Below are 12,200 nucleotides of genomic sequence, written 5' to 3' on the forward strand. Positions count from 1 at the left end.
AATTGCGGTTTTTGCCATTGAAAGGAATGACAAAACTGCAATTACTTTTGTGCCAACCTAACGCTAAAAAATAATAAACTCAATAAAAATGCCACCGTTTTAAACACCTTAAATTCTTAATAAAACATACTTCAGTAAATATGGCTCTTTACCTTGATTTTTTTTAAATAAACAGGTGAAGTTTCTTAGTTGACGTGAGTCTGATGCAGCACCGTGGCTTTGAGCTACAGAAACAAGACGGAAGGAAGGACATTCTTAGGGCAAAGTGTCACAACACAAGGGGAGATGGCTATGACTCAGCGTCTTGTTATTCCTTCTGCACTGGCTTAAAATAGAATTTCAGCTTTTGTTGTGTTGCCAGGTTCCTCTTTTCATGTAAAAAAAAAAGCAATTTGCGTGGTTCCAAATAAGACTGAAAACCATGAAAGTACTATTCTGCTGCTCTCGGCATTACCTCCTTTTCTTCACTCCATCACACATGCCTCTAATCCCCTCTAAGGCAACTGGTGGCTCCTGTGAGTTCCATTCTCCTTTCTTTGGTTTTTCAGCATGGTCTCTGAGGAAGCTCATTTGGGTTTCTTTATGCCCATTGCTCTCACAGTATCTCATCTTCTCTTATATCTTTACAAACATCTCCTGCACAGGCTGAAGGCTTTCCTCCCTCATTCAACCCCTGCATTTTTCGAACCAGGACACACGCTCCTATTGACAGTGCTATGTAAAAGGTTTTTAATGAGGAAAAGAACACGCATTCAGGAGCGCCATACATGCTGGACTTGCACAAGGACACACCTAAGTGAGAAAGCAAATGAGGTATGCCTGGTTTCTGCATATTCCTCCCCAGGTCACTACTGGTGGCTGGGCAGCATTTTCACATTCACCTGATGTTACTCAGTGGCGCCGAATACTGTCACCTCACACTTTTAAATGTGTAATGGTTAATGTTATATGAAGTTGACTATGAAGAACAAAAGACGAAAAATGTACATTACCTTCTCCTTTACCTTGCAAAAATCATATTTTGAGCTGGCACAGTTTTGCAGTTTAGTGATTTTAATGCCCTGTTTAACTACCACATATGAACAGTCACAAGTTACATATCTGTGTTGGAACAAAACAGACTGTGCGTGTAGTTTTCAAATTTTCAGAAAGTCTTCTTAGAAATGAATTTCGGATACAAAACTGGAAAATGGAGTCTATAATCACAGGGCAAGTGAATTTACATGGAAGCCTGGGTTAGGGGATGAAAGGGGGTATAGGTGGTATCTAATAAGATGGCACAATTAACCGTAAGGCCAACCCGTGACTCTGATTAGATTCCCATGACGCAATGCATCCAAGCATCACAGCCCACTCTTGGCAGTTGGGACTTTCAGCATCTTAACTACTGAAGAAACATTTATATGGAGGGTTAAGAGACCAGAATTGAATCTTGTAACATGTATTAAGTGCTTATTTGAGAGGCAAGGAAGTTTATTATAATCAGAAATGCTTCCTTTATCCCTCCCTTTTCAGGAACACACACTCATTTATTCCAGAAATAGTGGCCGAGTAACAAACACTAAGCTGTGTGTCAGGAGATAAGTATGCCCATGTCTTCAAGAGCTTACAGTCCAGTGCGGAAGACAGAGGAATAAACACAGTTCAGTGAGTTTGTTGCTAACAGTGCAGACAGAGAGAGATAAGATCCATGTCCCTAATTCCCAGGGAGCCATCTGGCTGGGATTGTTTCAGGGCTGGATCTAGAAATCCAGGCCGTGCCAGCCTTGTATGCAGATGACCACAAATTCACATCAGTGGAAGCCAAGGAGTACCTGCATGCAGAGCTGAAAATTTACTCCAGAAATAGTTCTATGTCTTCCCCAACACAGGACGGGAGGCAGTGGAGAGCCCAGAGTTCCTGACAATGGAGCGGGGACACCAAAATTTTTAGAATGAAACAGCTTCAAAGCTGGTCTTTCTAATCAGCTATAAGCAAGTCTCAACAGAACACTCATGGGAATGTCTGACTTGAAGCTAAACATAGCCCCTGCATATCTGACAGAGGTATGGGGCTCCAGGAAATAAGCTAATTCACAGTTCTCAAAGTGTGGTCCCTAGACCAGCAGGTACTTTGTCAGAAATGCAAGTGCCCCTCCCCAAACCCACTAATGAGGAACTCAGGGGTGTACCCCAGAAAGCTGTGTTTTAAGAAGCCCTCCAGGTGATTCTGATACTCAATAAAGTTTGAAACCACTGAGCTAATTAAAATTAGAGGACAAATGCTTCATTTCGTTAATAAAGGAGTTATCTGAAGCAGCTCTCTTGGACTTTGTCTAAACAGCAGAGATGCCTGTGTGTCAAGGAAGTGTCTCCTTTGCAGCAAGAGACCAGCCCTTCGGCAGAGAGGACTTGCAGGAAGTGCCCTGCATTCAGCTCATGCAAAAAGGACACGGAGACACAAAAATACAACTTAAGAAGAAAGGGGCCAAAAACGAGTCCCCTGTTTTGTTCCATTTCTCATGCCATGAGATGAGCATTTGTCAACAATGAGCCTGTCTATACAGCTTATCCTATTAACCAGTCCCAGTCACAGAGTGAGGAGACAAGAAAGATGAGGAGGGGAGATGTGAAGTTGTGGTGGAGGATTTCTCAACAAGGTGACAGAGGCAAAACAGGGGACCACAAGGAATCACTAGGCCTGGCATTCTTTTGCTGCTAAAGCAGCATGTGGGCCTGACTCGCGGCTTCAAACGGAACGTCTAGTGAGCCTGTGCAGCCGTCATCTGGTAGGTGGGAAAGGTGCCCATGTTGAGAACTAGAATGACAGCATCCTTTCTTCCACTGCACAAGACTGTAACAGTAGAGTTAGCAAGTGACAAACACAACGGCAAGGATCAAAGCCTACACATTAAGAATCAAACTTCAATACTGCTAGAGAAAAAAGAAAAGCAAAATAAACTCATCAGGTGCTTTATCTCACTTTAACAATTTCTAAAATCAATTTATAAAGCCATTTATAAAAAAATAAAATGAATTATTAGAGAGCGCTTTACAGAGACCCAAATGGTTGAACTTAATTCATAAAACCAAAATAGTTCAACTTCCCAGGCATGAAACAGGCCCTGAGAACACGCAATCTTTCTACTCTATTCGTACTATGCTGACTGCATCTCCACATCTTCCATCATTACTATTTCCAACAGCCAAACTCAGGAGTGCACATAAAAACTGGAATTTGTTTGACTCAATGAGAATTTGTCAGTAACATTTCAATTTGATCAGATTCTACCTGGTCTTTTCTGACTTTCCTTTATCTATGCAATGATCGTCATCAAATCTGACCCTACCTCATGTCAGCCTGAACAGAGACGGATAAAGTCAGAATTAAAGTCACTGGTAAGAGAGGAGAGGAGATGCATCTCCCAACACACAGCAGTTTCAAGAAATTCTCAGGTATCAGAGAAATACCAATAGAATTCAGGAGTTCCATATTCCATCTCATTTTTCCCGTCCCCTTTACCTCACCAGCCCATCTCTTAGTGCAAAAGGGACTCTAGGGCAGCTATCCCAAGGAGGCAAATGGTCACTTTCTGCTTCTCTAAAATACCCAGTCTAAAGGTGGTAGTAAGTGGGGAAGTGGTACTAGCCTGCAGAGTAGAAATGTGAAAAATGTTCTCAGATTTACTCCCATACTACCATCCAGTTCTTCCATGTTATGCTTATGTTTATTATTTTCCATTAAAATATTTTATTAACGACCCTTCAACCCTATCCATCTTCTTTGTCCCTCCTAATGAGGAAGGCGCCAAAGAGCCCACCCATAACCAGGAGGATGCTCACATAACCTGAGAAAAAGGAGAGTGGGCCAAACCAAGCCTGAGCTTGGAAGCTGATTCTAGCTTGCATTCTAGTTGGAAACAGAGGATTTCTAGTCATGCTGGTTGGAAACAAATAATTATGCAATTTGCCTTTCAATTACAATTCAAAGTGCTACAGAAAACAAACATGATGGGAGCCCACAAAGAGAACCTTGTCCTTTCTGTGAGATTCCCAGGGGAGGTGCATTTACTGGAGATCTGTTTGATAAGTAGGTGTTCACTGGGGAATGTGCAGGGCTGTGGACTGAGCGTGGAGGAGGTAGCGAGCATTTGGGCAGAAGATACTGCACTTGAGAAGCAGCAGAGCATGTGGAAGGAACAAGAAGGTGCCCAGGAGACTGGAGTGCAGAAAGTGAAGGAGAGAGACACAGTGGGAGGGAAGTAAGGCCACATCATGTGGAACCTGTGGGACATGGGGGCAGTTTGCATTATATCCTATAAGCCATGGGAAGCCATTAGCAGGGGTGCACTGGTTTTAAGTACTGAAGCAACCACGGAGATATCTATTTTTAAGGCTACTCTGTGTGTGGCCGTGTTGCCATGGTGCCGCAGGCTACAGAGCAATGCAGGCTTTTGCCCAAGCTGCTCCTCCAGGCAACACAGACTCTGGCCCTGAGGGGAGTGGGGTGGGCTGAGAAAGCTGACATGTCTCTGTGCTCAGAGCACTCCTTTGGGTGGCCCATGTGCTGGTCTTGGCACAAGGATTTGGCCCACTCACGGACAGCCTATCCAACTTTACTGCTTGGAATTCTCATCCCTGACTCCAAGCTTAGCCTGTCTAGATCATACTTTTAAAAGCTGTCCTGCCATCCTGTGGTGAGCTGCACCCTGCTCCCCAGGGGCAAGCTTTCGGTGCATGGGCTTGAAGCAATGAGAAGACTTCCTGCCCATTCCTGCTGAACATAACCAGAAGCCGAACCAGTGAGACCAGGTTGGAGGTGCTTAATTCCTGTTTACCTGAACAGAGTGGCATTTTTTCCAGAAGCTCAGGTGCCCAACTTACAGTGCGTCAATGTGAAATCTGGATCATAAACCAGCCCCTCTTTATCAATATTTAATAAATCATGGATTTTAGCATTGTGTTTTGGGTTCCTTAGGGTCTGGCACATTGCAGGATGTAGAATAGATATTCAATTAATACTTAATACATTAAATTAAATAGCAACCGCATTGATGGGTTGGTCTGAGTGTTGGGCCACCTAGAACTGCATTCCCCAGCCAGTGTCATATGCTGACACACATGTGGCCAGGCATACTGCTACTGACTCCCCCAAAACCCTTGGCCACTGTCAGAACACCAGCCTCCTGTCTCACTCAGTTCATGAAATGCTGGCCCCTTGGCATCTCTGTCTGGAAGCCACCATGCAAAGGCATTTAGTATATGCAGGGGGGGTATGAAAGATGTAATCAAGGTAAGAGACAAATACAACAAGAAAGGGAAAGGAGAGTATTAATAGCATGCAGCATCTATTGAGCACCTACTCACTACCAGATGCTTAACACACATGATCGCTCATGATGACTCAGTTTCTGCAAGGTTCATGTTATTACTTCATTTAACAAATGAGGACAGTGGAGATCAGACAGGTTAAGGGACTCATCAAATCCTGACAGTCAGGAGAAGGCAGGTCTGGAATTCACATATAACATCTATGCTGTGCTTAGCTCATAGCACCGTGGAGACAAAAGCCCTCTGCTCAGCACCAAACCTCTTCACACCCAGGGGCCTTGCCACATATGCTGCCCTCTCAACATCTGTCTCTTCCCAAACATCCTGTTCCCCCTCTCACTCCCTTCCCTACCCCTGCCCCAGGAGAACAGATGCATTCCAGATCTTGGTCCCCAGATCCTCACCCCTCCCTCCAGTTTCCAGACATTTCCTGCTGTAAAGTAATTTACTGCTTCTGGGATGATGGGAAATCAGTCCTGGACAGGAGCGATCCTCCCCAGAGATTTCCTTAAGGAACTCTGAGCCAGGGTTGAGTGGGTGAGCACAATCATGGCTTTGCATTTTCCAGAGACTTTCACCAGGCGTCTCACAGCAGCCAGGAAGTGGAGGCAGATGAAATGAGAGTTTGAAACCCCTGGAGGCCTTCACTTCTGCCTCTTCAATTAATGGAATACCATACTTTCAGAGGACTGGAGTCTTGGGCCATTGGCTAAGGTTAACAGAACCTGCAGTGGGAAGCCTGCCTCCTCATGCAGAGATGACGTTATCAATAATGGTAGGGTGGGTAACAGCGTGGGGATTGGAGCCCTAACAAGGTCCCAGAATAATCATCAAACCAGAGGAGACATGTGCTGAGTAGGGAGAGCTGAAGAGGTGCTTGCTGCCAGCTAAGCAGCCTGGCCTGCAGCCAGAGCCCGGCTCCCCGACTGGAGGAAGAAAAAATGGGTCCTGTGGGCTGTGCCCGAGCACCCAACTACAAAGGCAGCACCTGATGTTAAGGCATCAAGAGATAGGGAATGAGCTTTGGATTTGCCAGAAGTCCTCTAAGTAAAAGAACTGAGTAGGGGACCCAAAATTCTGATAATAAGTTTGGGGTGAGAGGAGGAAGCCCTCCAAGGCACAGAGTGGAATTATAGTAGATAATTGCCAAATGCCATGTAAGAGACTCTAAATCCATTTAACGGTGAGGGCTTTCCTTTTATGACAGAGGGGTACAAGTTGGGGTCAAGAGGGAGGAGGGACTGCTCACTGGCCCCAGCTGTCCCTGCTCTGTCCTTATCCCATGTGTCATCATTCTCTCATGGGTTAGACTGTCTCCCAATTACTTGCCCATCCAGAGTTTCCACATGTCTCTCTTCAGCCCCAAAGATGGGACAGTCAGAATCTTATAACACTGTTAGTTAAAGCTTTGTGCCCCTAAGTGTCAGTGCCCTGAAAGAAATCCCTGGACACTCCTTTGCTGCCTCTGTTGGGACTCGGTCTGCCTGGGCAGCACATCCACCCTGCAAAGACACCCGTGGGGACCAGTGACAGCTGAAGGACTGCCAGCAGCCCGCGTGGGGTCCACGCTTGACACATCCCTAAAGCACCATGTTAACTTCCATTGTGTGACAATTCTTTGTTAAATGTGTAGACGATTGGATAGATGGATGAATAAATAATCTGATATGTGAATGACTCGGTGAATAAATGAGTGAATAAATTTGCATGATAGTTATCTGGGGTAGGAAATGAAACTGTGACCTGTGGAACATTTATTTCTCTATACAAAACCAGAAGAGACGCAAATGAGACTGGAACCCTCAGCCTGAGTCATATGCTAACTAGCAGAGCTACTCTGTCCAGCAAAGACACCTCTCATGGCAGTGATTAAGCCCGACTTGCTGGGGCCATTGCCATGGTAATTATGGCAGCACCACCACGGTACCTCCTGACAGCAAGCCTCTTAGGAGGCAGGTAGCCAGAGATTTTTCACTGACCTGTTCTCTGTTTTCTTTTCAGATTATCAAGGAGGTCCCTCCACCCCCTGCCGAGGAGAGTGAGGTAAGTGACCACAGCAGGATGGCAGTGGGTGGGCAGGGTGGCAGAGTAGGGTGGAGAGCTGGCTGGGCAGCTGGACACTTAGCCCCCTGCAGAGCAGAGCTAAGTCAAGCTCAAAGGATTTAATGTACCTGCCTGTGAAGCAGAAGGGAGGAAACTGTCTGGCCTTTCCTAACCAGGGATGAACAAGAAACTGAACTAAACTGCCAGAAAAGACAATGAGTTTTGGAGGTTTTTCTCCCTGCAGAGATAAAATGTGAGATGGAAATAAATGTTTTTATCAGTACAGTTATTTGGAGCTTTGAGATACTGACTTTTCCTCTCAAACAAACCCTAAGATTCTCTTCTCCTGCAGAGACTTAATGCTTTATGTGTGTAGATCAGGCACAGTTTGCTACATTCTCCAATCATTGGTTCTAGGAATAACCTGATGCCCAATTCTTCATTTTTCTTTCATTTAAAAACAATATTACCTAAAGATGGGCCAGGCAGTAATGAAAATACGCTGGAGAGGGATATGTTAATATCCTGGCCTTCCTCTCAAATTCTCGTCATCTAAAGAAAAAAATTCTTGGACTCTACCACTGAATCGGCCAGTAAACTGTTCTGATGCAAGGGTGGCCTGGAGTAGAATACAGTGGAGGCATTAAAGGCTAATCATGAGAAAGGCAAGAGTGCCTAGCAAGTGGCTTTGCTAATCTGATCACTCTTAGTACAGCTGGAGTCTCTAGAAGTAACATCCACCCATTCAGAAGCCAGGGTTACATATCTAAACACTCAATGAGACCAAAAGATAGATTGATAAGGTTTCAAGTTCTTGTCCTCAATCCCTAACGTCTGTTGTGTGCAAATCAAGTGCCAGTTCCTCACCCTTCCCCTTCCAATGCATTTGTCAAGTTTCCTACATACAGAAAGAGTAATGATTAAATTAAAAATTCCATGTGGCTCTTATATCCTGAACCATACGCATGTAAGCCAAGGGATTTAATAGCTGCAATCAATTAAAGTGCATCTTGTTGGAATGCTAACTTTCTGCCCAGAAATCAAGGGAGGAAATTACATTGCTGTGCAAAGAAGAAGAAAAAACCTTCTTTACATACATTAAAACCTTTCCTTAATCCTTCAAGAGAAAGTACCGTGGCTAGTTCCACGACTGCAATTGGCTTTGCTTCTGTTATGTGCAGCTATCTCTTAGACTTCCAAAACATAAAAAATAAAATAGAGCAAGGAGCTCCCTTATTAGGACTTTGTTTGCCTGGAGGCAAATAACATTCCCTCCCTTGTTGTGTTCAGTTAGAAGGGTTGTGGCTTTTTCTTTTGGCTCTTGCTCTGTATTTGCCTTTAGAAGGTGACGTGGCAGCCATAGTGGCCAAAGTGCACCTGGGGATGTAGGTTAAGACTGGGCTCTGACTTACCCCAGATCCAACATCTAGCCTAGGGTTGCACACACAGTACAAGCTCAGCAGGGACTTTTAGGATGAAGGACCCAGCAACACAATTTTGGAGCCAAGTAAAAAAGCCCAAACTAGAAAACCATCTAGGAAGGATAGCTAAAAGCAAGGAAGAGAAGTAGTTGAGTTTTTTCTGTTTCATAAAAGTTGTAGTTACACCCAAAGAAAGCTGACTTCATTTCCCAAACAGAATGACAACCTCAGAATGCTTGAATCTAAAGGGTTATGTTAGGCTTAAAGGAGTTTTTGGGCTGAAGCTTCCTCACCTGTCCCCTGTCACTCTATCAAAGGGATAACTCACGTGAACACCTGCAGTTGATTATACTTGGTCAGACGTGAGCTGGACAGATGACTAGTACATTTCATTGGCTGATGAAAAACAAAACATTCCCTTCCTGGAGTCTAGATCCCCTCCCCTCCATTTCCCTTTGAAACCCTCTGACTTAATCAATTAAATATGACGTCAGAAATAAATCAAGAAACTACCCAAACTGGAGACCTAGGCAATAAAAATTTAAACATTGTACTTTTTAGCATCAGGCGCTTTTTGGCATGTGCTGATTGCCTTAGCGTGTGTGTTGGCCCTGTGAGTTAGGCCACCTAATCTCCTTCCTAATGTATTTTGGCAGGAAAATAAAATAAAATAACAAGAAGAAGAAAGAAAGAAATCCCACAGAAACAGATAACCTAACACAGCCCGTGCAACGTATTTTATACAATGCTCTGAAAATCATAGTCTCAATCTAGACAGTCTTTTCCTCTAGTTCCCTGTATTCAAATCCCAGTGTCTAACATTCAATAAATAGCTATATGAAATCAAACACTCTCTGCCGTATATATGAAGACCTTCAGTATTATTTATCCCAACTTTCATCAGCTCTATCAACATCATATTCTGAGAGAGGCATGTCTACTATTTAAATAACTAAACTTAGAGAATGAAGATAACTTTATAATAAGCTCTCAGTGACCTTTTTAATAGAAAATATAAAAATTCAGAATGGAAAAAGGAACTATATGCTGAGATTCTATGTAACCAACGGTGACACACTTGTATGAAGAGGGTACAAAGAGAAATTACTTGAAACTTGAAGAGCTCAATAGAAGCAAGGAAGCTCAGTTTTAACAACTAAGAGGGACATTTCCTGGGTTAAGAATCTTCTCAAGTGGCACCAGTGGGGATCCCTCCCTAACTCTCCAGTTACTCCAAATAACTGGCAGTTCGTGGGAGAATGCAGTAATGGAGCACTTCATGTGACGGTTTTGTTCTGCATGTAATCACCTTCCATGGATTTTATGACCATATTTGAGTTTTTATCAGCCTCATTCGCCTGCAAAAAACAGAGACCAGTTCAAGCTAGTCCAAGATGAAAGAACTCAGGTAGACTGTGGCTGGGGAAAGAACTGAGGCAGCTCTAGACACCACCCTCATGGGCTTTCGATTTCACTGCTAGCAGCTCTGCTTCTCTCTGGGAATTTATTCCCTTCTGCCTTCTCTTACTGGCCGCCTCTCTGCCCTTGTAACTCTGGTTTGTACAGAGCCCTCTCTCCTGACTCCATCTGATATTTCTAGTCTTCATTTCACCATCTGCCCCCAGTGCTTATAGCTGAGTCTCTCAGTTTCCATCTTTCAGTTCCCAATAGGGGAAAATACTTGGTCCAGCTCATCTTTTCACTCCAGACCATAGATCATCAGTCACAGCTCACAGCCAACCAACAGACTGGTGCTCTTGGGTCACATCTGGCCAAAGAGAAGCTTCCTAGTAAGCCCCGTGGCCATGGTGAGAATAGCTCCCCTCAGAAGGAGGAATGGACCTGGTGCAGGCCCTGTGGCCTCTCTGAAATAGTATTGTTTCAGAAACTAAACTTCGGTCTCATTAAATACTATCAAAATAAAAGCTACACCCAGGAATCCATACCATATTCTTCCAACATCTGCCACTTTTACAGGCTCTCAAAGATCCTATCGTTCCCAATATCAAGCATATTTGAAAGGCAATAGATAGCAGGAAGCCCCATGACTGAATGGAAAGTGGGTTATGGCTTAGCCCCAAGCAGCTCCATGTCTCAGACACACACAGACCTACATATGAAGTAAATGTACTGGAAAGAGAAGATGCTTCCTTTCCCATGTCCTGTCTCACTCTATCAAAGGCATAGCTCTGGAAACACCTGCCATTTTCTTCCTTAATCACACTGCCTTGGCCAGACCTGGGCTGGACAGATGACTAGTACATTTTATTTGCAATGAAAAACAAAACATTCCTTTCCTGGAGCCTAGAGCGCCTCCCCTTGTTCATTTCCCTTTGAAACCCTCTGGCTTAATCAACTAAATATTATGTCAGAAATAAATCAAGAAACTACCCAAACTGGAGACATAGGCAATAATAGTTAAAACATTGTACTTTTTAGCATCAAGCAAATCAAGGTCTTAGAATCTGACTTGAGGGACATTAGAGAAGTCAAATAGGGTAGAGGTAAAAGGTATGTAAGTAGCCCCAATGTTTTTTGATATTTAAAAATCTTATTTATTCAACAACTCTAGAATGAGTGCTCCTGTGCGCTGATAGCAAGTGTGAGATTCTCTGCCAGAGTTGCCTTAAGAGAGTGTGTAACTGGGCCAGGTACAGTGGCTCATGCCTGTAATTCCAGCACTTTGGGAGGCCGAGGCGGGCAGAGTACTTGAGACCAGCCTGGCCAACATGGCAAAACACTGTCTCTACTAAAAATACAAAAAATTACCCGGGCATGGTGGCACATTCCTGTAATCCTAGCTGATCAGGAGGCTAAGGCAGAAGAATTGCTTAAACCTGGGAGGTGGAAGTTGCAGTGAGCCAAGATCACACCACTGCATTCCAGACTGGGCGACAGAGCAAGACTCTATCTCAAAAAAAAAAAGAGAGAGAGAGAGAGTGTAACTGGACATTTATAAAGTTGGTGACCTAATCAGTCCTAATCAGGAAGAAAGGCAGAGATTCCTGGTGGATATTGCATGTGAATGTATGAAAATTAATAATAATAGTGGTTAATTACTGAAGATGACATTTATTGAGCATTTATAACTATCCAGGCAATTATGTGAAGCACTTTTTGTGGTACATTTCATTTTATCATTCAGCAGCCCTGAAACAAAAGTGTGCTATTATGAACCCCTACCTTATAGATGCAAAACTGAGGTATAATGAGATTAAAATACCAGTGGCCCCAATATTTCAGTTATTAAGTGATGGGACTGGGATTCAAACTTGTACCTGAAAAAGAAGCATAGAGCAGTCTTTCCTCACTGGTCCCTGAAGACAATGTAGCTCCTGCAACCAAGAGCAAGTCTTCCTGATGCTCATTGTTGGGAGCATCAGGTGCTCCTTTCTTGAGTGGCAGTGTCACCTGTCTCTGACCCGT

At 43.9% G+C, this 12,200-nt stretch overlaps 1 protein-coding gene across 2 annotated transcripts in view, besides 1 other annotated feature; it reads left to right on the forward strand.

Annotated features, from left to right (window-relative positions):
• Positions 1-12,200, forward strand: part of ANTXR1 (ANTXR cell adhesion molecule 1) — a 236,184-nt gene that overhangs the window by 149,793 nt on the left and 74,191 nt on the right. Inside the window, exons 14-15 of one of the 2 annotated variants that reach the window (NM_053034.2) lie at positions 7,312-7,353; positions 9,431-9,622. In NM_053034.2, coding sequence (NP_444262.1) covers positions 7,312-7,353; positions 9,431-9,448 — 60 coding nt within the window. In that variant the 3' untranslated portion in view covers positions 9,449-9,622. Of the gene's footprint in view, positions 1-7,311; positions 7,354-9,430; positions 9,623-12,200 lie in introns of those variants that run through there. The other variant, NM_032208.3, reaches the window with a different exon arrangement.
• Positions 8,521-8,815: an enhancer, noted in NCBI's record as "tiled region #10320; HepG2 Activating DNase matched - State 5:Enh". NCBI's record gives its function as "activates a minimal TATA promoter and a strong SV40 promoter by Sharpr-MPRA in HepG2 cells {active_cell/tissue: HepG2}" and the evidence as "EXISTENCE:reporter gene assay evidence [ECO:0000049][PMID:27701403]".

The sequence above is a fragment of the Homo sapiens genome, chromosome 2, assembly GCF_000001405.40.
Source record: "Homo sapiens chromosome 2, GRCh38.p14 Primary Assembly".
Classification (NCBI taxonomy): domain Eukaryota; kingdom Metazoa; phylum Chordata; class Mammalia; order Primates; family Hominidae; genus Homo; species Homo sapiens.